The sequence below is a fragment of the Homo sapiens genome, chromosome 1 (genome assembly GCF_000001405.40).
Source record: "Homo sapiens chromosome 1, GRCh38.p14 Primary Assembly".
NCBI classification, from domain to species: Eukaryota; Metazoa; Chordata; class Mammalia; order Primates; family Hominidae; genus Homo; species Homo sapiens.
In genome coordinates this window covers 193091505-193115990 of record NC_000001.11, presented here as the reverse complement: position 1 = coordinate 193115990, position 24486 = coordinate 193091505, and the positions used below count along the sequence as shown (strand labels likewise).

The 24486-nt window shown below is 40.1% G+C and overlaps 2 protein-coding genes and 1 long non-coding RNA gene across 7 annotated transcripts in view, besides 6 other annotated features; 2 read left to right on the top strand and 1 right to left on the bottom strand.

The window, feature by feature from the left end:
- Nucleotides 18-312: a silencer, noted in NCBI's record as "tiled region #4625; K562 Repressive DNase matched - State 5:Enh". NCBI's record gives its function as "represses a minimal TATA promoter and a strong SV40 promoter by Sharpr-MPRA in K562 cells {active_cell/tissue: K562}" and the evidence as "EXISTENCE:reporter gene assay evidence [ECO:0000049][PMID:27701403]".
- Nucleotides 272-6911, top strand: LOC124904474 (uncharacterized). The gene is made up of 2 exons (XR_007066776.1): nucleotides 272-348; nucleotides 5214-6911. It is a non-coding gene; the product is annotated as an uncharacterized LOC124904474 (long non-coding RNA).
- Nucleotides 1962-2868: an enhancer, noted in NCBI's record as "OCT4-NANOG-H3K27ac-H3K4me1 hESC enhancer chr1:193082253-193083159 (GRCh37/hg19 assembly coordinates)". NCBI's record gives its function as "activates a minimal SCP1, AML or CMV promoter by ChIP-STARR-seq in naive H9 embryonic stem cells {active_cell/tissue: H9 hESC(naive)}" and the evidence as "EXISTENCE:reporter gene assay evidence [ECO:0000049][PMID:30033119]".
- Nucleotides 9877-19526, top strand: GLRX2 (glutaredoxin 2). Of its 3 annotated transcripts, none has more exons than NM_016066.4 (4): nucleotides 9877-10474; nucleotides 14787-14850; nucleotides 18231-18407; nucleotides 19232-19526. In NM_016066.4, the coding sequence occupies exons 1-4, from the start codon at nucleotides 10353-10355 to the stop codon at nucleotides 19364-19366; spliced, it is 498 nt and encodes a 165-aa protein (NP_057150.2). In that variant the 5' UTR covers nucleotides 9877-10352; the 3' UTR covers nucleotides 19367-19526. The 3 variants fall into 3 exon arrangements, with proteins under 3 accessions (NP_057150.2, NP_001230328.1, NP_932066.1); NM_001243399.2 differs by having other exon boundaries at nucleotides 9934-10373; nucleotides 19232-19521; NM_197962.3 differs by lacking the exon at nucleotides 9877-10474 and adding an exon at nucleotides 10577-10727 and having other exon boundaries at nucleotides 19232-19521.
- Nucleotides 10399-10638: a silencer, noted in NCBI's record as "silent region_1656". NCBI's record gives its function as "represses an Ori minimal core promoter by ATAC-STARR-seq in GM12878 lymphoblastoid cells {active_cell/tissue: GM12878}" and the evidence as "EXISTENCE:reporter gene assay evidence [ECO:0000049][PMID:35858748]".
- Nucleotides 10399-10788: a biological region, named in NCBI's record as "Sharpr-MPRA regulatory region 7925".
- Nucleotides 10418-10712: a silencer, noted in NCBI's record as "tiled region #7925; HepG2 Repressive DNase unmatched - State 1:Tss". NCBI's record gives its function as "represses a minimal TATA promoter and a strong SV40 promoter by Sharpr-MPRA in HepG2 cells {active_cell/tissue: HepG2}" and the evidence as "EXISTENCE:reporter gene assay evidence [ECO:0000049][PMID:27701403]".
- Nucleotides 10689-10788: a silencer, noted in NCBI's record as "silent region_1655". NCBI's record gives its function as "represses an Ori minimal core promoter by ATAC-STARR-seq in GM12878 lymphoblastoid cells {active_cell/tissue: GM12878}" and the evidence as "EXISTENCE:reporter gene assay evidence [ECO:0000049][PMID:35858748]".
- Nucleotides 24214-24486, bottom strand: part of RO60 (Ro60, Y RNA binding protein) — a 32166-nt gene continuing 31893 nt past the window's right edge. For all 3 annotated transcript variants that reach the window (NM_001042370.2, NM_001173525.1, NM_001042369.2), the window contains one exon: nucleotides 24214-24340. In NM_001042370.2, coding sequence (NP_001035829.2) covers nucleotides 24320-24340 — 21 coding nt within the window. In that variant the 3' untranslated portion in view covers nucleotides 24214-24319. The remainder of the gene's footprint in view (nucleotides 24341-24486) is intronic.

The window sequence follows — 24486 nt, the reverse complement described above, 5'->3', positions numbered from 1 at the left end:
TCTGAAAAAAACCCCAGCAGGTTAGACTCTAGTTAACTAGTTTTTGCTGAGGGCAGGCCTTGTTAAGAACATAGTCCTCTACTCTATTTCAGAATGATTCATTTTCCCTCCCCCTGCTGAAAACAAGTGAGGATTTTCCTAACATACTTACTGTGAGAACCAGGTCAAGCTCCTGGGGATGAGTCACAAAACTGTGAGTCCACTCCAACCACTTGAGTCAATCCCCCTGGAATTTTTAACTCTCAGACTTGTCCACACTAAGCATCCAGCAATTCACTGATCACAGTTTAGAAGTTCTTATCCTAGCACTGGTTCTGTGGCCATTTCCACTCATGAGTCTCTGCTCAGGTAAGCTGTGAATCCCTGTATTCATCTCTCTCTCTCTCCAATATTGGGGGCAGTGTTTGCCCTGTATCTTCATCTCTTTCACGGATCCAAGAAAAGTTGATTTTTCAATCTATTCAGTTTTTTTATTTAATGTTACAACAGAATGACAACTTACAAATTCCTTACATATGGAAATAAACATATATGTTTTTTACTTAGAAACTGTTCTGGCTTCAAAACATTATTTATTAATTAAATTAATTATTTGTATAATGTCTTGAACGTAGTTAAGGATCTGAAATTTACCACGTTTGCTCTCACAGTAAATACTTATTTGTAGCACTGTAAGAATTTTATAAAATTTACCCCTAAAAAAAAGTATTACTCTTGCATTGCATGAATACCATTACAAATGTTTTATTTATATATGTATACACACATATTTACATTTATATATGGAAATTTAAACATGTCGTAGAAGCAATGATAATTTATTTAACTCATAAAACCAACATAGGAAATATAGGAAGTATAAATCATGAGAAGATTAACTGTGGTCCTGTTCAAAACAAAATATTGTATTGACATTACTTTTATATGGTATTGAAATTTAAAGATTCTGAATCATGCTAAAAGTTCTTCTTTTATCTTGGAAATAACTAAGATCTTGTCTTTTTACCTTTTAAGTACGGTAACAAGGGCTATTCAGGACTCACAAAATAAACACAAAGAGTTCGATGGCCTTTTCAGTGTACGTGCTGCCAAAATGAGTACTTTGATGACTTTTTTGTTTACTTTTACGTGATTGTTTATCTAAACTATATATTCTTAGAGTGAGCACACAATAATTGAATGTTTTGGTTTTTTGTTTTTTGATTGTTAATCTTTAGAATTTTCTAAGAGAGGAATAAAACAGAGAAACAGAAGAAAATGAGAGAGTTGACTTCAGATAAATATAAAATTATCACCTTAAAAGGCTAATTATGCTTTCTCTGAAAAAAAGAGAAAGTTTAGATATGGAAAAACTCATTTTAACATGTACACACACAAAAGAGCGTTATAATAGCTGATTTAAAGAACAACTTGGGCCCTGGACAATTTTATCCACCCATACAGTGAAAAATCCAACACTTATTAATCTTCAGAGTAAGAAAACAAAGGAAGAGATGTCTCCTACGTTAAATTAAATACTCTCTTTTTTAGACAAGCAAGAAAATTTCCTCATGAAGTCTTCCTCACTTTTTGTTCTAAAGCACCTCTCATATGAACAATCTTATTCTTGTCAAAAATAGCTAAAGTGGGTATTGTAATCTCAAATTGTCTCTGGTAAAACTGTACCAGTTAGACAGATAAACATGCAAGTTAATATTATAGTGTGAAAACATAAGGGAAGTAGGTTTTGTCAAGTAGAAAGCAGGTTTTAATTAAGAAGGCCCTATGAGTACTGCAGTGTTCCCTAAAATGGCATTTGTGTAACTCATGTCTTTATAAATTGGCCAAAGGTTAATGGTCACCAAACATGGGGTGGACAAACCTCCTGATTCCAAGCAGATAAAATTAAAGTACTAACACAAAGACAAAACTAAGGAGGATGTCTTTGCATAATTTGTAATGGAGACTCAAGACAAAGAGTTGGTTCAAAGAGAGTGGTCTGAGGAGACCTGAACTTCCCAGCCCCCAGGGCCAGCACAAGGATAGAATTATAGAGCCTCTGCCTGGTATCTTCTTGTAGACTTTTTCTCTAATTGACAACTTGGTAAGCAGACAGACCGTAAAAGGAACAGCTGGAAGACTAGACAACAGTTTCACCAAGGAACGATACAAGTCTGATCAGATAATGGAAGGATGCCAGGGCACCTAATTCCTAAGAAAACAAAATAAAATTCAGTGCGAAGAACTTCAACAAAATATTGGAGCTCAATTCAGTATAAACTTACCTCCTCACTGTGTGCCAGGGGGCCTCAATCAGAAGACACAAGATTCCAGATGTGACGTCCACACTAGAGAGTTGAGGATCTTAGCCTGCAGCGGCAAGGTCTCAGCTGAATCTTGGTGGAAACTTCACTTCTGTCAATGACTTGCAAACAAATATCACCAGGGGCACACTCTAGGCAGAGTTAGTTCACCACAGGCCCTGAGCATTCCTGCATATTCTTGCTGAGGATGCCAAATTGCAGAGCTATCTTTCTGCTGATTCTGAGTAGTTGCTGTAGCTCATCACATAGGTAACTAAATACATGAACGTAGCCACAGCATTGAGACAGCCACATGGGAAGGAGTCCCTGAAGAAACTCCAACCACCCTGCCCACAGGGGTGGAGTCTCAGGAAGTTCACGATGTTTGCAGAGCGGGGAGCCTGGCCCCATCTCTTCTGTGTGGAAACTGGGATTCGAACTGCTGAGTAGGAAGCGCTCTAGCAGGGACTCTGGCCTAGCGAGAGTCCCTGTTTCCCCCTTTTCTTCCCTTTCACCCAATAAAACCCTGTCTTACTCACCATTCAAATTGTCTGCAAGCCTGAATTTTCATGGCAGTGGGACAAGGAACCCCGTCTTTAGCTGAACTAGGGAAAAGTCCTGCAACAGCATGATTACTGCTCATTCACTAGATGAAGAGGACTGATTTGATTGCATCTTGCTGTAATATTTGTTCCTAGACCTTTGGCCCTGGGCAATTCTCTTAAAAAATAACCCACTGTGGGGGCCAGGCACGGAGGCTCACCCCTCAAATCCCAGCACTTTGGAAGGCCAAGGCGGGCGGATCACCAGGTCAAGAGATTGAGACCATCCTGGCCAACATGGTGAAACCCTGTCTCTACTAAAAATACAAAAATTAGCTGTAATGGCACGTGCCTGTAGTCCCAGCTACTCGGGAGGCTGAGGCAGGAGAATCGCTTGAACCCAGGAGAAGGAGGTTGCAGTGAGCCGAGATCGCGACACTGCACTCCAGCCTGGTGACAGAGCAAGACTCCATCTCAAAAAACAAACAAAAAAACCACTGTGGGTTGGGTGCGGTGGCTCATGCCTGTAATCCCAACACACTGGTAGGCCAAGGTGGGCATATTGCGTGAGTCCAGGAGTTTGAGACCAGCCTGGGCAACATGGCAAAACGCCATCTCTACAAAAAGTACAAAAATTAGACTGGCCTGGTAGTGTGTACCTGTAGTCCCAGCTATTTCAATGGGGCTGAGGTGGGAGGATGGCTTAAGCCTAGGAGATCAAGGCTACAGTGAGCTGAGATCATGGCACTGCACTCCAGCCTGGGTGACAGAGTGAGACAGTGTCTCAAAAAAAAAAAAAAAAAGTAACTGCTGTCATCTGACCTTCCATGCCTCCCTGTTGCAACTGGGGCTCAGGAAACCAATGCAAATATGTTGACACTCTGGTTACTGCTTTCAGTAATAAAGCCCTTCATTGTTGATCCAAGTGTGTTGTCTCTGTGTCAGCATTCATGAAACCTACAAACTAATCTGTCAGCTTGCAAGGAGAATAAAATGTCCGACTCTTCACAGTTCTTGATCAGGAGGTGGCAGATTCTTTTCTGCAAAGAGCTAAATATTAAATATTTTAGGGTTTGTGGCCACATAAGGGCTCTGTCAAGTATTTTTCTGTATTGGTTTGTTTTGAAACAACTCTTAAAAATGTAAAAATTTCCAGGTGCAGTGGCTCACAACTGTATCCCAGCACTTTGGAAAGCTGAGGTGACAGGGTGGCTTGAGCCCAGGAGTTTGAGAGCAGCCTGAGCAGCATAACGTGACCCCATCTCTACAAAAACTAAAACATTAGCTGGGCATGGTGGCACACATCTGTAGTCTCTGCCACTCGGGATGCCGAGGTTGGAGGATTGCTTCAGCCCAGAAGGTCGAGGCTGCAGTGAGCTGTGATTGCATCATCGCATTCCAGCCTGGGTGACAGAGCAAGACTCTGTCTCAAGAAAAAAAAAAAGTAATAATCTTTCTTAGCTTTTAGGCCATACAAAAACAGACCACAGATAGGCTTTGGCTCCAGTTTGCCGACCCTGCTTTTAACACACATTTTTTAATCAAACAAAGTTAAGTTTATTGGCTGTTTGCTATAATCGAGACCACATATTATGTGTATCTGTGTAGTATTTCTGCAAGAAGGTGTTAGACTAGATCTGTTCAATTTTGTTTTTTGTAAGGGAATTTTGGAAAGGATTCAGTGATATGGGGTTTTGCTCTGTATTGGTTCCTATCACAAAGCAAGGGTAATTTTATGATTGGGTCTCTTAATTTTCTCTAGAATAGAGATTAGTAAACTTTTTCTGGAAAGGGCCAGATAGAAAATACTTTAGGCTTTGCAAGTTACATATGGTTTCATTCATATATTCTTCTTTGAATAATATTTTAAAGAGTTTGTTGAACTCTTTAAAAAATGTTTAAACCATTCTAACCCAAGGGTTGTTAAAACGCAGGTTAGGAGTTACTTCCTCTGATATGCCTTCCCAGATTCTCAAATTCAATGTAGATTCCCCTCCCATGTATTCTCCTAGATTTTCGTGAATGCTAGATTCATTTATATACTGTTCACTACAGTGCCTGGCATATGGTGGACACGTAATATTTGTTGAATGCAGGAATAAGAGTTTAATTATTTGTGGAATCCCATCACTTAATGGTGAGAGACAATATACAAATGGGAAATGGCCAGACTATATATAACAACAGAATTCTGACCCATAACTGCTGCAGCAAACAGATTTGGCCTGCAGAGTTGTATTTTTATTTATCTAGAAGGTGGGAAGAATGAAGTGAGGCTAAAGCTGTAAGTGGCAAAGAAGTAGAAGTCACTCAAAGTGGTCATTTGGGGATCTGTGTTAAGATATGATTATTACTGATTGGTCTTGTTTTTTCTTATTTTGTTTTTTAGAGACAGAGTCTTGCTCTGTTGCCCAGACTGGAGAACAGTGGTGATTATAGCTACTGCAACCTCAAACTCCTGGACTCAAGCAATCCTCCCACTTCAGCCTCCCAAGTAGCTGGGACTACAGGCACACACCTGGCTAACTTTTTATTTTGTGTAGAGACAGGATCTCCCTTTGTTGCCTAGGCTGGTCTCAAACTCCTGGCTTTAAGCAATCCTCCTGCCTTGGCCCCCCAAATTGCTGGAATTACAGGCATGAGCCACCACACCCAGCCCTTGTTTTGTCTTGATTCATTATGGTCACAGAGTGGTTTTATCTGGTTGTTGGTATTCTGAATTTATTTTTATTTAACAGGAAAACACAATGATCCAGCTGTTAGTGCCAATCCAGATCCTGAATGGCAGAGGCTGCTCTTCACTTTGTCTATAAGTAGCGGGAGTGGAACTGACTTCTTTCACTACTGCAGTCCTGACTATGCCCATATCAGATCCCTTATCAGATTTGTGCTTTATATAATAGCAATCAGCTTGATAGGTCTTTGTTCAGTGTTTGGACCATATAGTGGAGCTTTGGTAACACTAGAACTGGAGACTTGTGATTAAATCTCATTACCATTAATGTTAAGTATAGCCTTGTGTGGGAATGTTACAGAGAAAAGGACTTAGAGACTTACCGAATCGAAACTTTATGTCTTGGGAACTCTAAGGATAAAAGTAATTTTAAAAAAAGAAATGGAACAATTTTTTCTATCTTGGATAAAATAACAATTGAATATTGTATTGGTCAGGGTTCTCCAGAGAAATAGAATATATATAAAGAGATTAATTGAAAGGAATTCACTCACATGATTATGGAGGCTGGCAAGTTTAATATATGCTGAACCAATGTCCTAGTTGGAGTCCAAAGGCCAGAAAGCTTCTGCAGAACCAAGGAGATCCAATTATCCAGTTTGAAGGCCATCAGGCAGGAAGAGCTAATGTTCAGTTCCAAGGACATCTAGCAGAACTCTTTCCTGGCTGGAGGAGGGTCATCATTTTGTCCTATTCAGACTTCCAACTGATTTGATAAAGCCTACCCACATTATGGAGGGCAATCTGCTTTACTCGGTCTTCAAATTTAAATGTTAATTTCTTTCCAAAACATCCTCACAGAAACACCTAGTGGCCAAATACTTGGGCATCCATTGTCTAGTCAAGTTGACACATAAAAGTAATCATTAAAGATATTGGGCTTTTTTTTTTTTTTTTTTTTTTTTTTTTTCAGAATTGAGTTGAGCTTGACTCAACAGTCATCTCCTAGGATAAATTGTACCTGTATTGATAATTGTTCTAAGGTGCTCCAATAATATGGGGATCTGTTGGGGCTGGGGGATGATGGTCTGATCTCAGTCTGGTTGGCTACTGGTACAGCAGAAGAATAACATGTTGAATTTCCAATAAAAAGAAGCAGCAAGCCCAATTCAATAAAAACTTCAAAGAATATCTAATAAATAGCCTTTGCGAAACCAAGAAAAGAAAGTAGAGGGCAGTAAAAGTAAGGCATATGACAGAACTAGATTTGTTGGTTTATTTGCTCTTTCAACACGGATTTTTAAATATGGAAACACAGACAAGTCATGCTTGCTTTTTTAAACCAACAAATTAAAATTGCGAACATGGCTAATTTCAAATCAGATTAAATAAAAAATTTCTGCATGGAAAGCATGTAATAGCTTTTGTCTTCTTCCTTACCACCTGGAGAGCTCTTCCCCTTCCCTTCTCCCTCTGCCCCCACCTTGTCTGCCTAACTCTTACTCTTGTTAAAACCTTAGGTTACAAGTTTCTTCCTCTGCCATTCCTTCCAAAATATCAAATTCAATTTAGGCCTTCCTCTTATGTATTATCCTAGGTTTTCATGAATGCTAGTGTCATTTCTGTGCTGTTCACTACAGTGCTTGGCACATAGTGGGCACATAAAATTTATAGAATTCAGGAACAAGAGGTTAACTATGGAATCCCATTATTTAATGGTGAGGGACTGAATATATAAATGGATAATGGGCAGAACACACATGACAATAAAACTCTGACTTCGAGCAAACAGACCAGAACAATTAGAACTTGGTTAATGACTACCAGCTTTCCAAATATGCTCCCCAAACCAGTCATATAGGATGCTTCCCTTCCAGTTGGCCTGCCTTCACGTCTTCATGCCAACAACTTTTTTTTTTTTTTGAGATGGAGTCTCACTCTGTCACCCAGGATGTAATGCAGTGGAGCCATCTTAGCTCACTGCAACCTCTGCCTCCCGGGTTCAAGCAATTCTCCTGCCTCAGCCACCAGAGTAGCTGGGAGTACAGGCATGCGCCACCACACCCAGCTAATTTTTTTTTGTATTTTTAGTAGAGACGGGGTTTCACCATATTGGCCAGGCTGGTCTCGAACTCCTGACCTTGTGATCCACCTGCCTCAGGCTCCCAAAGTGCTGGGATTACAGGCGTGAGCCACCATGCCTGGTCTGTCACTTTACTTTTAAAATGTACAACTTGATATTTTGATACATGTATATGTCTTAGTCCATTTTCTGTTGCTTATAACAGAATATCTGAAGCTGAGTAATTTGTATATAAATTGTTCTTACAGTATTGAATGCTGAGAAGTGCAAGGTCAAGAGGTCACATCTGGTAATGACCTTCTTGCTGGTGGGAACTCTGCAGATTCCCCAAGCCATGTAGGACATCATGGGACAAGGCAGCAGAGAACTCTGTTTTATAAAGCTGCCAGTTCTACTCCCATGATCACCCATTAATCCATTCATTCATGTTCCAGCTCTCATGCCCAATCATCTCTCAAAGGCCCCACCTGTCAGCACTGCCACATTGGACAGTTTCAACATAAGTGTCAGAGGGGACAAACATTCATTCCAAAGCCTGATACACTGTATAATAACTATCACAATCAAGCTAATTAACATAGCCACCACCTTTCATATTTACCATTTTTTTCTATTCCCTTTATTTTCTTCTCTCTTTTTCTTTCTTTCTTTTTTTTTCCAGACAGTCTTACTCTGTCGCTCAAGTTGGAGTGCAGTGACGCAATCTCAACTCACTGCAACCTCTGCCTCCCAGGTTCAAGCGATTCTCCTGCCTCAGCCTCCCGAGTAGCTGGGATTACAGGCGCGTGCTACCATGCTCGGCTAATTTTTGTATTTTCAGTTGAGATGGGGTTTCATCATATTGGCCAGGCTGGTCTTGAACTCCTGACCTCAGTTGATCCACCCATCTCAGCTTCCCAAAGTGCTGGGATTACAGGCGTGAGCCACCGCACCTGGCCCCATTTTCTTTCTTGTGTGCAAGTGTGAGAACACAAGATCTACCCTCTTAGCAAATTTCAAGCATACATTGCGATTTTCCTAACTATAGTCACATTGCTGTACTTTAGCTCTCTAGAACTTACCTATCTCGCATAATTGAAACTCTGTACCCTTTGACCAACATCTCCCCATTTCCACCTTCTCCCAGGCCCTGGCAACCACCGTTCTACTGTCTGCTGACATATTTCTTAACTTGCTATTGCAGTCATCACAACTATGACCAAAAATAATAATCACTTCTGTAGCTACCCCACGAAGCACAAAGAAGTTGAAAATTATCAATATATTTATTAATATATTATGCTGAATTCAGGCATAACACTTTCTTCTGAAGTACTTTACATTCTGAAATCCTTAAAAAAATCTGTCCAGTGAATTCTGTGCTTGATAATAGTCCATCTATGCTGTATTAAAATTAAATTGTAACATGATCGGTTCACCTCATAATGATCTTTATTTCATAAAACAATTTGAGATGAGGTAAAATTTGACTTCAAAACTAACATAACACCATAAATTTCCAAAATAGTTTTATAAAAAAATTAAAAAGCCCACAACACTATAGATAGATAACATACCTTAATTTTTATTTTATTTTATTTATTTATTTTTTTATGAGACGGAGTTTTGCTCTTGTTGCCCAGGCTGGAGTGCAATCGTGTGATCTTGGCTCACTGCAAACTCTGCCTCATGGATTCAAGCGATTCTCCTGCCTCAGCCTCCCGAGTAGCTGGGATTACGGGCATGCGCCACCACGCCCGGCTAATTTTGTATTTTTAGTAGAGACGGCGTTTCACCAATATTGGAGGGGCTGGTCTTGAACCCCCAACCTCAGGTGACCCGCCCGCCTCGGCTTCCTAAAGTGCTGGGATTACAGGACTGGCCACTGCGGGAGCTGCGGCAGCTGCGGCCTCTGGGTACGGGGTCAGCGGGCAGTCCTGTAATGGCCACATTACAGGACAGGCCATCGCGCCTGGCCACATGCCTTAATTTTCAAAGTCAAATTTGTCTTTAAAAAGAATGAATTCCTACCCTTTGGGGGTATTTATTTTTGCAACTAACTTCCATCCTTTTATTAAGTAATCAAACATAGCCCATTTGAATGTTGGAAAAGAACTGTCAGAAATACAAGTTCTTATTTTGTACTTTGGTAACATGAATTTTACACTTAGTTGAACATGAAGAATCAAAAAAGCTCTGGATTGTTGTAATAATTGTTTAGAATTTTAGATGTACCATTTGACCTTTGACTTTAAGATGAATTTCAGTGTCCTCAGTAAATAAAGGCTTACCCCCAACCTTAAATAGTGACGCACAAAGGCTATTATTACCACCACTGAGTGGCTTAAATAATCCTGTCAACAGCAATCGCCCATTTCCAAAGCCATGGTGAAACATCTCTGTGCTAATTTCTTTTGTTTTGTTTCCTAATTTTTTTTTTTTGGCAGGTGGTGGGAAATAATCTTTGTCTTCTTTGGAGTAAACCTTCAACACCGGATTTTTTCTTTTAATTATGGATGTAAACCCCAATATCCCCATAATTTACATTGGGTCTCGACCAATTGCCTAATTATAAGAGGATATATTTAGGCTCTTATTTCATCCACACAAAAACTTGTGTAACAGGTAGTTGGAAACATCTGAGGCACCACTTTGATTCTGTTTTGGATGGTCATGTTTTTTCTCCTCCGTTTCCCCAGCATGTCTGCCACCATCCTCATGCACTGCTTCCAAGTGCCTGGGAGCCTTTATGAGCGTCCCTAAACCTAAAAGAATCCAGAGGCGGGGCTCGGATGAACCCTCGAGATAAGCAAGTGAGCCGCTTCTCCCCTCTAAAGGATGTTTACACGTGGGTGGCACTCGCTGGAATCCAGCGCTCGGGCAGCCCTGGGAGGACGCGCTCAGCTGCGAGGAGGTGACCGGCGGCGGCGCGGGCAGTCCGGAGGGGCGGGACGGGGCGGGGCAAGGCGGGGGCCGGGCCGGAGGAGGCGGGCTCCCGGGATCCGCGGTGTCCGGCAGTAGAGCTCGCTGCAGATCCGGGCTCTGACCATGATTTGGCGCCGCGCGGCGCTGGCGGGGACGCGGCTGGTTTGGAGCAGGAGCGGCTCGGCAGGCTGGCTTGACAGGGCGGCGGGAGCTGCGGGAGCTGCGGCAGCTGCGGCCTCTGGGTACGGGGTCAGCGGGCAGGAGTGCCGCGGCGTGGTGCGCAGGCCTTGCGGGGGTCTGGAGAAAGCGGTGGGCGGAGGTGCCCCTTTGCCCCGGCGCCGGGTGGGCGAGGCGTACTAGCGCGTGGGCTCTGAGTCATAACACGCAGAGGCGCTCGAGGGATGGGCAGGGAAGGGTGCCCTCCGCGGCTGTGCTGACTTCAGGAGCCTGTGACTCTCGCGTTGAAAATACTTCACTCATGTTCACTTAGGCCATCCCTCTGTGAATTGCTACATAAAATACAAGACGCCGCAATCAATTGGAATTTCTCTGAAAGAGCGAATGATTCTTAGTCCAAGTGTGTCCCAAATACTGCAGTGGACATAGGAAAAACGGAACAGTTTTCTGGTGTTTGGTTACAATTCTAATTTGACCGGGCGTCCTGCATTCTTGTTTGCTAAACTTAGCCACCCTACTGCAGGAAGTGAAGGCGATGATTCCCGCTGAATGGCCAGAGCTTTTAGGATAGAGGCTGACTGATGGTGATGCCGCCTGCGGCTAGACCGAGGATAGTGCTTTCCTTACACTTCCTCGTTTGGAATATCAGCGGCTTCGGGACCTGCAGTGGAAGGGAACTGCGGCTGTGCTGCCCACGCCCGCGCGGCTGGTGCCTGGCGGTCCTGCCGGCTCGCACTTCCGCGCCTGCCACTGCGCACTTGGCCGGAGAGTCTGTCTCGCTATCTACTTGATCTGGGAGCTTCTATCAGTTTTGCAAGATTCTAGGAATCTCAAGTTTAACTTTCCAGACCAAGCTAGAGACCCCTCCTGAAGGGCTAATCACAGGCTGTTAAGTGTTTGACAGCTCTTTGAGGCCCCGCCGTGTTTTTTTCTGCGTATCCCTGGGGTCAATATAGCACTTTGCCTACTTAGCACACAGTAGGCGCTCCATAAATGTGGCATGACTAGGTGCTTCATCTGTGTTGAAATGAAATGTTTATTGTGCACTTACTTCCTCCGTGCATGTTTCTATTCATAGTTCGCGACAGTTTTTACCAAGGTCAACTAGAAATTGAAGGGAAAGGGTGTCTTCCAGAAACTTTTATTTGGGTAATATTTCAGAATGCACCTCCTACCTCCTCTCACTACCCAAGAAAACATTCTCTTGTGTTCTATTGGAGCTCCTTCAGTAGTAAATGCTGTAGTAGATGGTTTGGGTATGACAGTTTAAGTGCTGGACCTGAGATGAAAGGACTTGCTTTCTTAGTTGATAAACCAAATACAGCTTGCTGATTTATTCCACCAATGCTCTTCCTTAGGGCTAGGCCAGTGCTGCCTAACCTTTTCTGGTTTAGGCTTCAGGAACTCAACTTTCTTTTATCTTAAAGCTTCACCCTCCTCTCAGGTTGGCTGCAGTCTCCCTAGCTCGCTACCCTTAACTCCTTCCTGAGTTAAGCGCACAGGACTTTTTTTTTTGTTTTAAAGTGTTCCTTGCTAATACTATTAGGAAGCAAGGAATAATAGATTGTAAACATTGGGTAGGTTATAATGTTATAATGTTTAATTCCTGTCTCTTACTCTTCTTTGTTATAACTGAACAAACTGATGTTTGCTGTAGCTTCCTCACTCTAGGTGAGCTGATATCATAATCGTTCCCCCTTATCCGTGGTGGACACGTTCCAAGACCCTCGGTGGATGCCTAAAACCTCGGATAGTACTGAACCCTATACATGCTATTTTCCTATACATACTTGCCTATGATAAAGTTTAATTTATAAATTAGGCAGAGTAAGAGATTAACAACAATAATAAAAGAACAATCACTTTAATAACAAAATGCTCATTTCAAGGAATCCCTTGCTGAATCTTCTCATAGGCCCAGTGCTTTTTGGCATAACACATTGCTGTCAGTTGGAACACTTTTTCTGTTCTTGTCTCCACAAATTTAATACCTTTTCTGGCTTAACTAAGCACTTATACCTTGTGGCTGTAACTTGCAGTTTGAGGTGTGACATCAAAACTGCCATGAATTTTTTACTTCTTTACAACTGCACTGATAGAAGATCCGTTCTTACCATAGACCTTAGCAACCTCAGCGTGTGATTTTTTTTTTCCTATTAGGTGGAGAACTTTCACCGTTTCACTTAAAGGAAGCACTTTAGGGCTTCTCTTTGACGTACCTGAATTGCCAGCATCACTACTCTAGTGGTTTGGAGCCATTATTATTATTATTATTTAAGACGGAGTTTCACTCTTGTTGGAGCCATTATTAAGTAAAATAAGGGTTACTTGAACACAAGCATCACCACACTGTGACAGTCGATCTGGTCACCAAGACAGCTGTTGACTAAAGCGTGGGGAGCTTATACAGAGTCCATATGCTGGACAAAGGGAGGATTCATACCCTGGGTAGGAGGAAGCTAGATGGCTCAAGATTTCATCATGCTACTTAAAACTTACGAACTATTTTCTTCTGAAATTTTCCATGTAATGTTTTTGGACCACAGCTGACCTTGGATAACTGAAACCGTGGATAAAGGGGGACTACTGTGTAGGGCAGATGTTCATTATCCAAGGATAAGATGTACTGGAAAAAGCTATTAGAGTGGATTCACTTAAAATAAGACTAGTATTTCAGGCCAGGCGCGGTGGCTTACACCTGTAATCCCAGCACTTTGGGAGGCCGAGGTAGGTTGATCATATGAGGTCAGGAGTTCGAGACCAGCATGGTCAACATGGTGAAACCCCATCTCTACTAAAAATACAAAAAATTAGCCAGGTGTGGTGGTACATACCTGTAGTGTCAGTGACTCGGGAGTCTGAGGCAGGAGAATTGTTTGAACCTGGGAAGCGGAGATTGCAGTGAGCCAAGATCACGCCACTGCACTCCAGGCTCGGTGACAGAGCAAGACTCCATCTCAAAAAGAAGACTAATATTTCATGCTATCCAGTTTAAAAAATTCTGCTTGGGACTATTGCAAAAATTAAACAAAACATAAAAAGTAGCTTTATGTTTACATTTAAGAACATTTAAATTTTAAATGCACCCCCAATGAATGAATACAGTATTGATTTGAAGGCAGAATATTTGAGTTTTATAACATAATCACAAGGATAATAGTTTTTTAAATATTTGAAGTTTCAAAAATTCTCTTATTCTTTAGATATTCGAGTAATTCTCTTTTGAAACATCTATTATATGTCATAATCCTCTTGTAAGATTTGTAATTTTACTCTGCAGTTAGTTTGCATCATGGTGTTTGATATTGTTCCAACAGTGCGGTAGGGCCTGGTTGACCAAGAAAGATGAGTGGATGGGGAAGAAAAGGTTCCAGGGATAAAAAGATTTGATGATGATAAACTGGTTGAGTTTTTTTTTTTAGTGATAATTTTCCTGACAATGAATGCTTCCTTTTACAAGCTCCCAATAGCTAGGTTTTGGATAATAAATACTGAGATAATGAGAGGTCCTGTATTCAGGAACTAATAGTAGTAATGTTAAACATTATTGAGCATTTACTATGTGGAAGGCACTTATCTGCTTTCTGCGTATGAATTCATTTAATCTTCACAAAATCCTTTGAGACGTGCCAGTGATTATTGTTTCCACTTTGCAGACTAGGAAATTTGGAGCTATGGCCCATTGCGGTTGAGATACTGTAGCTTCCTCAAAAATCTTTGAAGATTCCCTGCTTCACAGTGTGTTCATAGAGTTTTGGCATGTTTTACTAAGAAAATAGAAACTATATTTTTAAACCAATGGTCAGGTCATATGGCATAGGATGGAATATTTGAAATTTGCCAGTTATAAATAAGAGTGTGTCAAGCTTTAAACACAGTAAATATGATTTTATCAAATAATTAAGGGTGTTGGGAAGCTAGTTACATAAGCACACAGGCCTTTTTGGTTTTAGTGAAACAAATACTTTGTATATTGACATTTTGTACTGATAATAAGTAAAATTTTTTTCTATTTTGTAAGTTTGGCTATATTTGTTTATGAGATTGATTTTTTTCAAATAAAACTCGTGATAAATTATCCTTAATGCTTAATAAACTACATTGTTCTCTTAAATTCCTTTTAGGATGGAGAGCAATACATCATCATCTTTGGAGAATTTAGCGACGGCGCCTGTGAACCAGATCCAAGTGAGTGATGTGGGAGATGATTGAAAAACTTTCCTCTGTAGAAAAAGAATTGTCCCTTATATATTTAATATGCTTATTCAATATCCAAACTTGAGATAGTTTAGCAAATGAATTAAGAGATTAATATTTATTTTAAAATCTGCTATGAAAATCATCCTTGTGACTAAGAAGTCCTAGATCATTTTGGTAATTAAAACGTATGAGATTTATTCTTAATGAAGTCTTCACTCCCTCTAAGTTGGATAATGAGGTTGGCTGCTCCTTTTCATCATACCCACTTGAGGTCTAGTGTTGATACCAGTCAAGCTGCCCTTAGCTAGGGATCCTATTTGATTTTGGCCTGGGAAGCAGTTTAACAGTTTTCTTTGTTAGTACAGAACCTAGTGTGCAGTAGTTACTCCGTAAACCATCCTCTCAGGGATAGGACTTCTTTTCCTCTTTCTTTTACTGAGAAGCTTCGTTAATTCTGCCTTAGAAAATCTCTCTTACATGTATGTTTTTCTTCCCTTGCAACCTACAAGACATACCATTTTTTCTCTCTTGCTTACCACTCACTACTACCACAAACAAAAAAAATGTCTGCCTTTAGTTGATTTGGCTAAACTCCTAGCTGTTGACTATAACTGTGAGGGAATTGCTTTTTTATTTGTTTGTTTTGTTTTGTTTTGAGGCAGCGTCTCGCTCTGTTGCCCAGGCCAGAGTGCAGTGGTGCGATCTCAGCTCACTGCAACCTCTGCCTCCTGGGTTCAAGCAATTCTCCTGCCTCAGCCTCCCTAGTAGCTGGGATTACAGGCGTCCACCACCACACACAACTTATTTTTGTATTTTAGTAGAGATGGGGTTTCACCATGTTGGCCAGGCTGGTCTTGAACTCCTGATTTCAAGCAATCTACCTGCCTCGGCCTCCCAAAGTGCTGGGATTACAAGCATGAGCCACCGTGCCTGGCCTGAATTGCCTCTTTTAAAGTAAAAATACAACATCATGGGATATACAGTTAAGGGCGAGCTTGAGAAGTGGGAAGAGAGTTCTAGAAACCCTAACGCTGTCATCTTTAGTTTCAGCTCACTTTGGAATCTCTTCATCAGTGTCTAATATATGTCAGAGCCCTGGAAGCTCATCTCTCCCTACACGATGGTGTTAGTGTGTCTTGTAACCTGAGGCAGCATGGTGGAGGGAAGAGCACTGGCTTTGGTGTTGTGACAAGGTTGAGTCAAATCCCAGTATTACGAACCACTCAGCCTTAGTTTTGTCCTCCGTAAGATGGATTCATTAATACATCTCTGGTATGGCAGGCCCTCCCTAGGATGGACTTTTATACTAAATATTACTAGTAAACACAAGGGAATCATAAAAATAGACCAACTTGCAGACAGCTGGGCTAAAACTCAGGACCCTTCTGACACCCAAGGGTGGGTATAACTTCTGAAGCATGGGTCTTATACTTTCTGGTTTTTGGCCTTCATCTTGAAGGTACTGCTTATGATCCACCACAAAAGAACAGACTAGACAGGCTGGGCACAGTGGCTCATGTCTTAATCCCAGCACTTTGGAAGGCCGAGGCAGGTAGATTGCTTGAGCCTAGGAGTTCAACACCAGCTTGGGCAACATGGCGAAACCCTGTCTCTACAAAAAATATCGAGGTGTGGTGACACATGTCTGTAGTCCCAGACACTTGGCAGGCTGAGGTGGGAGAATCACCTGAGCTCAGGAGGTTAAGGCTGCAGTGAGCTGAGATCGCACCCTTGTACTCCAGCCTGGACGACAGAGTAAGACTGTCTCAAACAAAAACAAAACAAAACAAAAAAAAACCTAGACAAATGTCTGGGTGCTAAATCTATCCATTCAAAATCTTTTGAAGGTCCCAGGCATTCATATGTTTAGAAACAAAAAACAAAAAGAAAAACTTCATAGGCTGCGTGGATGCATAGCAGAATCTCATAGCCATTGTGGTAAAGGCCTGGAAGGTAGTTTTCAAACCAGGCTGATATCATCATTATATGGAGAGGTTTTTTAAACATACAGTTTTCAACTTCTACCTCAAACTCATTGAATCAGCATTTCTGGAAGTAGCTTTTCCTGAATTAAGAGTATGAGAATACCTTATCAAGAGAGTAATGACAGCTTTTGTACTATAAAGGTATATAGGAAAGGATAGAAGTAGAGGGGTAAGCCTTACATTTTAAGAAGAAATCATATACCATTCCTTACCATTGAAAGTTATAGAATAGAAGGTAAGGAGTTAACTCCTGAATACCTACTGAATATTTGAAAAGAAGTATAATGTTTTGGGGCTGGGCGCGGTGGCTCACACCTGTAATCCCAGCACTTTGGGAGGCTGAGGCGGGTGGATCACCTGAGGTCAGGAGTTTGAGACGAGCCTGGCCAACATGGTGAAACCCCGTCTCTACTAAAAAACAAAAATTAACTGGCCGTGGTGGCAGGTGCCTATAATCCTAACTACTCGGGAGGCTGAGGCATGAGAATCGCTTGAACCTGGGAGGCGCAGGTTGCTGAGATCCCACCACTGCACTCCAGCCTGGGGGACACAGTGAGACTTTGTCTCAAAAAAAAGAAATGTACAATGTTTTGGTTTTTTTGTTTGTTTGTTTGTTTGTTTTGAGACAGAGTCCACTTACTGTGTTCCTCAGGCTGGAGAATCACTGGAACCACCTCCCTGGTTCAAGTGATTCTCCTGCCTCAGCCTTCTGAGTAGCTGGGATTACAGGGATGTGCCACCATGCCTGGCAACTTTTGTGTTTTTAGTAGAGATGGAGTTTCACCATTTTGGCCAGGCTGGTCTCGAACTCCTTACCTCAAGTGATCTGCCTGCTTCAGCCTCCCACAGTGCTGGGATTACAGGTATGAGCCACTGTACCCGGCTGAAAAAGGAGTATAATGGAGATTAAATATCTGGACTGTAGAGCCAGATTTGCCTGGGTCTAATCCCAGCTCTTCCACCTATTAGCTGAGAACCATGAACAAATTGTTGATCTTCCTCTGCACCTCACTTTCCTCAACTGTGAAGTGGGGACAATAATAGGACCTACCTCAGGATTGTAGTGAGGTTTAAATAACACAGTGAAGATAAATTGTTGAGAATAGTACCTGGCACACAGAAATGGTTGCTGTATATGAATTGGCTACAATTATTATTTATTGTTATTGCTCTATGCCAGGCACTTTTTGTTATATCTTTTTTCTAATAACATTGCTTTGAAATGAAAAATATCCTCAATCTGCAGATGAGAAAAAATAGATGATGCTTAGTTTGAGCCCAGAATCATGAGAGACCAAAATCCATACCCTTTCCATTATATCTTAATTTATTTCCAAATGGTAATGTCTAGAATTAAAATGATTTTTTGTGGTTTTATTTCAGGAAACAATTTCTGATAATTGTGTGGTGATTTTCTCAAAAACATCCTGTTCTTACTGTACAATGGCAAAAAAGCTTTTCCATGACATGAATGTTAACTATAAAGTGGTGGAACTGGACCTGCTTGAATATGGAAACCAGTTCCAAGATGCTCTTTACAAAATGACTGGTGAAAGAACTGTGAGTATATCCTCTGTGGTGCTGTTCCTCTTTAATAGGTTGTAAACTAGATCACCCAGAGCCTAGAACCTTGTGTTAGGAAAATGAGCCAGACATTCTCTGAGGATAGATAAAGCAGCTGCAGATCTAGGAACCAGATTCTTAGAATAGGAAACAGCAGAGTTGATTTATTTTATTTTTATTCTGTGTGTGTGTTTTGACTGGGGTTGATGAGTAGTGTTATTATGAGTGCTTGTCTATGGATCTTTGAGTTCCTCTTGGAGCTCTTGGCAAGATGAAAGTATTCTTCCTCCCTTTACCTGGGCAATACAGGGGTTGGTCTTCAATTACTTTTCTAATAGGAGTGCTTTAGTGCTCCATGTTTTTAGATTCTTGAAATTTGGATTTTTCCATAATATGCATAATCAGAAAAATGTACAGTGTTGCCACTTTCAAGTTTATTGAAAGTTTATAGTGCACTCTTTCCCTTCAGTAAACAAATGTAAGAAATAACTAAATATTACTGTTTATCTGCTTTAGTTTATTTAAAGCTTTAGTAATCAGGAAGAAAGGTTTTAGAATCAGATTGTTTGGATTTGAATCCCAGTCTGTCATGTACCATCATTGTGATTTTGTGCAAGTTCCTGTGCCTCATTTTCCTCCAAAACAGGGCTAAAAATAATACCTACCTTAAAGGGTAAAGATTTTAAGATTTAATTTGTGAAAGAGCTTTGTGGTGCCAGGCTCATAAAAGTACCCAGAGTTCAAATGTCTCGTTATTATGTGAAATGATCTTAGTTCTGATACTAGAGTAAAGCCTAATTCTTCTTTTGTTTGTCCAACAGGTTCCAAGAATATTTGTCAATGGTACTTTTATTGGAGGTGCAACTGACACTCATAGGCTTCACAAAGAAGGAAAATTGCTCCCACTAGTTCATCAGTGTTATTTAAAAAAAAGTAAGAGGAAAGAATTTCAGTGATGTTTATACTAATAAGTTTGCTAGTACAGTGTCAGTTATTTAAAGTGGTAATGCCCGATAATGTCTTTTAAATGTTTGAGGATGTTTTAAATACATGCATTGTCTTCACGAAGAAGATGTAAAAATAATGAACAATAAATTGCGGTGGAAACCTCTTCTTCCCACTTGCCAATTCTTGAGAAAAAGGGATGGTATTAAAAAAATGAAAGGTTGGAGTTGTATCAAGATAAGAATGTATTTTATTAGGAATTTAGATATGAATTTTACAACCAAGAGCTAGAAGGTAAGCATTTGGAATTCTTTATTTCCTATTCAGGAGTTAACTCTTTATCTCACATAGTTTTTAAGTGGTAAGGACTGATATTTGATTTCTCTTTAAAATTTAAGGCTTTTGCTGATACACTTGTGAACTAGGCAGGAATATCTTATACGATATTGTGAAAAGCCTTCACACTTTGTACTTGTAGAGTAATAGAAGTATATTAAATTTTTAGCATGGAATGAAATTTATCTTAGAGAAACTAAATTACTCATTTAATGACTTAATAGTTCATTAAGTCATTAATGACTTAATAGTTCATTTGTCATTAAAACTATACCTATGGGCAGAAATTAAAAGGAGAAGATTTCGGCATTGTATGAGGATGAACTTTTGAAACAGTGTAGAAATGTACTTTAGTTGGCATGGGATGGTGGCTCACGCCTGTGATTCTAGCACTTAGAGAGGCCAAGGCGCAAGGATCACCTGAGCTCAGGTGTTGGAGATCAGCTTGGTCTACATAGCAAGACCCCCATATTTACAACAAATAAACAAAAATTAGCCTGGTGTGATGGCACATGCCTGGAGTCCTAGCTACTCAGGAGGCTGAGGCAGGAGGATCTCTTGAGCCCAGGAGTTTGAGGTTTTATATATATATATATATATAAATTTTGAGGTTTTTTATATATATATTTTTGGAAAGTAGAACTCTCCACCTCACAATTTAACTTGAGTACATTTCATATATATATACACACACATACACATTTTATATATTAAATGTACTTGAATTAGATTGTGAGGTGGAGAGTTCTGCTTTCCAGAATTTATGTGTATTTTATTTATTTATTTATTTTGAGACAGAGTCTTGCTTTGTCGCCCAGGCTAGAGTGCAGTGGCGCGATCTCGGCTCACTGCAAACTCCGCCTCCCGCGTTCAAGCAATTCTCCTGCCTCAGCATCCTGAGTAGCTGGGATCACATGTGCCCGCCACCGCACCTGGCTAATTTTTGTATTTTTTAGTAGAGACGGGGTTTCACCATCTTGGCCAGACTGGTCTCAAACTCCTGACCTCATGATCCACCTGCCTCGGCTTCCCAAAGTGCTGGGATTACAGGCATGAGCCACCGTGCCCGGCCTTATGTGTATTGTAATACATATATATATATAAATTCTGGAAAGCAGAACTCTCCACCTCACAATTTAACTCAATTTCCAAGAGCCTTTGAACACTTAATGTGTTCAATACTGGGAATACTATTCAAACTGATTTCAATTCAGCTAAACTTAGCAAACAAGATTTATCCTATAGGAAGTCTTACTTTACAATGATTGAAGACGTTCAGTACTTCATTAATGAAATCGTCTTTCCAGCTTCCTATCAACAAGAATTTTTAAAGTGCCTACTATACAAAGCATTTTCCTAGTTGATCCCACAGAGTCACTTGGGGCAGATTACCAGATGCTGAGAAGAAAAAACCCTTCATCAGAGGTGGAGGAAAAATGGATTTCAAGAGTGCTTCTGGTTTTTGTCAGGATGGACCAGAGAATCTGGAACAGTCCTGAAGAAAATAGCTGGTGGCTTCCTTGGCCTTTTGCCATCAATGATGCTTCTTACTTGGATTTAAACTGCCATTAGGAAACCTCTTGATCAAGAATTTAGACAAGAATTTCATTCCCATGTGATAATTTAGGTTATAACACTAGAATGGAACAAAGAGTAGAATGTCTTTAGTTCTTTATTTTGCATTATGTCATAAGAAAGTTCTTGCTATGTTGTAAAATCGTTGTTAGATTCAGGCTTTTGGGGATTCTGAAAACACATTTTGTTAGAGTTGAAGTCTATTACCTGAGAAAGGTAAAATTGTGTCATAATTGTTCATCATACTAGGTATTAAGGGTAGAGACAAGTTACTTCAAGGTATAGAAACACTGACCAGTACTCGACTGTGAAAAACATCTTTACCTTTAGCATTTTTTTTTTGAAACAGTCTCGCTCCGTTGCTCAGACTGGGGGGCAATGGCGCAATCTCAGCTCACTGCAACTTCCACTTCCTGGGTACAAGCGATTCTCAATCCTCAGCCTCCTGAGAGTAGCTGGGACTACAGGCGAGCACCACCACACTTCGCTAATTTTTTGTATTTTTAGTACAGCCAGGATTTCGCCACGTTGGCCAGGCTGGTCTCAAACTCCTGAGCTCAGGCGATCCGCCTGCCTTGGCCTCCCAAAGTGCTAGGATTACAGGCATGAGCCACTGCACCTGGCCTGTGAAGAAACATCTTTTATCAATGCTTCCTAGACTGGTAGGACATAGGGTGAGAGGCGAGTGGTGGTTCGTTCTTGATTATGTTCAGATCTTGAAAGAATTCAACATTAGGGAGAGAAGCCTTATCAAAAGCCTCAAAAACTCTACTGAAGGTAATATGATACCTGATTCTCACTATGGCTTTATTTAAAATAGAAGAAATAAACCCTTCTAATATCTGCATCTTAGTCTTCTGAATTAAACTCATTGACTAATAAAAGATTTTTACTTTGGAGGGTTTAGCACTGCATCAAAAAGGAAGCAGATCTCTCCTATTTGTTAAACGCTAAGGAATGAAAGAAAATAACAATAAATCTGACCTCTTTTTGTCATATGGCACATTAAATATCTTTGAAAAAAACCCCAAAACAATAATAACAAAAGCTTGCCGCTCTAAAACGTTTAAAATATCGGACACAATAATAAATTTTTAAAAATGCAAGGCTAAGCAGGTTTTAAAAAGTATAGGGACTCTCCAAGAGGAAAACAAAACCAGGAGCAGAATCCAAGGATATAGGGAAGCACTGAAGCCAGCAGCTCCCTTACTGACAGTGCCAATCGTGGAATGCCAACAGCTTTAGTTTTAACTGTATGCAAGGGGCTGGTTACAAAGCTGGGGGTTAAGGGAGAAAGATTTAGATAGGAGACCACAGCATACCACCACTAAATCTTCAGTTAAAAAAATTCGTAATATACTTTCAGAGCATAGCTGATGATTTGCCAAGACAGACAAGCGTTCAGATCACTAAAGGTGTAACCATTAGGTAGGTGACTTAACCTCCCAGAACTTCAAGTTTCTTATAAAATGTAGGTAATAGTACTTTCCTTTAGGATTTACTTTTTGAGGAATGGAGATAATACATGTAAATCTTTCAGAGTGGTTTTTAATAGACAATACATAATGGCTATCATTAATCACAATGGTTCAGGTATGTGTGTTTTCTTGTGGACCCATCAGGGTTTTCCAAGATTCCTGCCTGTACCCAGCCAAGAATTTAGGGGGCAGGGGAAGCCTCTGGGGTTTCGTGTTGTCTTGGATATTGATTTCCATTTCTTCTCCCTTTCCATACCTTACAGCTGGATAAAAGTAAGATAATGGTGACTAAGAAAAACTTGTAATTTTTTTCCTCAGTCCTTATTTTTACATTTTTTATTTACATTTTTTTTTTTTTTTTTGAGACAGGGTCTCCCTCTGTAGCCCAGGATGGAGAACAGTGGCTCTATCATGGCTCACTGCAGCCTCAAACTCCTGGGCTGAAGTGATCCTCCTACCGTAGCCTTCTGAATAGCTAGGGCTACAGGCACATGCCACCATGCTCAACTAATTCTTTTTAGTTTTTTGTAAATATGGGGGTCTTACTGTGTTGCCCAGCAAGATCCCCATAGTTACAACTTTTTAGTTTTGAACTCCTAGGCTCAAGCAGTCCTCCTCCTTTGGCCTCCTGAAGTGCTATGATTACAGGTGTAAGCCACAATGCCCGGCCCTTTATTTTAAGATCTGAAATACGAGCTGTTTACTGGAGTTCATTAATATAAAAAACTAGGCCATTTTTCACTTTATCATTAGATAATCAATTTACATTTTAATTGCCAAAATATCTGTAATTGAAAAGCTGTTGAAGAAAAAAAGGGATCTTCTGTACCTGGATTTTACTGTTTACTGATAAAAAATTACCATTTGAACAACATCTTTTAAAGTCAGGTTTTCTTCATAAGGTTTAATATTGTTAAAATTTATTAAATCTAGTATGTATAATTTGTGATCCTTCTTGTACAAGTGTTGAAATGAGTGCTGTAAAATCAACCAAATGTTTTGAAGTTTTGGTGAATATATTCTGATGTAACTTGCTTTCAGTTACCCACAGTTCAGATCTTAGAACTTTTCAGAAAATTTTTATGGGAATTGAGAGAAAAATGTCTGCAAATTGGCACTGAAACAGTGTTTTTATTTGCATAGTTGACTTTTTGTGTTTGGATGATAACTTTTGCCAAAGGCAATTTTGAGTAGATCTTTTCACAAAAGAATCCTATTTTAAAACTTTAAATAATTTGTTTTCATTAAATCTAATCATTTTGTTATAATTGAATTCCATGGGTAAAGAATCTTTAACTTCATATACTTTTAATACTTACATAAAACTAGATACATTAAAAGGTCAATATTAATTATCAAAACTTAAATTTTACCTTGTTCAAATACAAGATTACTAAAGGCTTTAGATTTTTTAAGGCATATTATAACCTTAACATTCGTATTTCTTGAAAGAGATAGACAGACACTTGTTTAATGTGCATAGAGTTTATTTGGTACATCTATCAATTTCTACAATAACTGACCAAAAACAGTTCACACAGTGTCCACCTGCACTCCATGTCTAAAATGATTTATTTAGTAGGGTATTTTGCAAGGCTAGAAAGGAGAGAAAGGATTTCACAGTATCAGTGAAAACTGTTTTATCATGAAACAAATGTAATACATTAATATATTCATTCATTCTCTATTAGAAAACAGCAAAATTACATTGTTAGTTGTATTATTTACAGTGAAAACTTGGA

Coding starts and splice junctions, on each gene's coding strand:
- GLRX2 (NM_016066.4), top strand. CDS start 10,353: ATGAACCCTCGAGATAAGCAAGTGAGCCGCTTCTCCCCTCTAAAGGAT. Junction 10,475..14,786: donor ACGCGCTCAGCTGCGAGGAG/GTGACCGGCGGC, acceptor AATTCCTTTTAG/GATGGAGAGCAATACATCAT. Junction 18,408..19,231: donor AAATGACTGGTGAAAGAACT/GTGAGTATATCC, acceptor TTTGTCCAACAG/GTTCCAAGAATATTTGTCAA.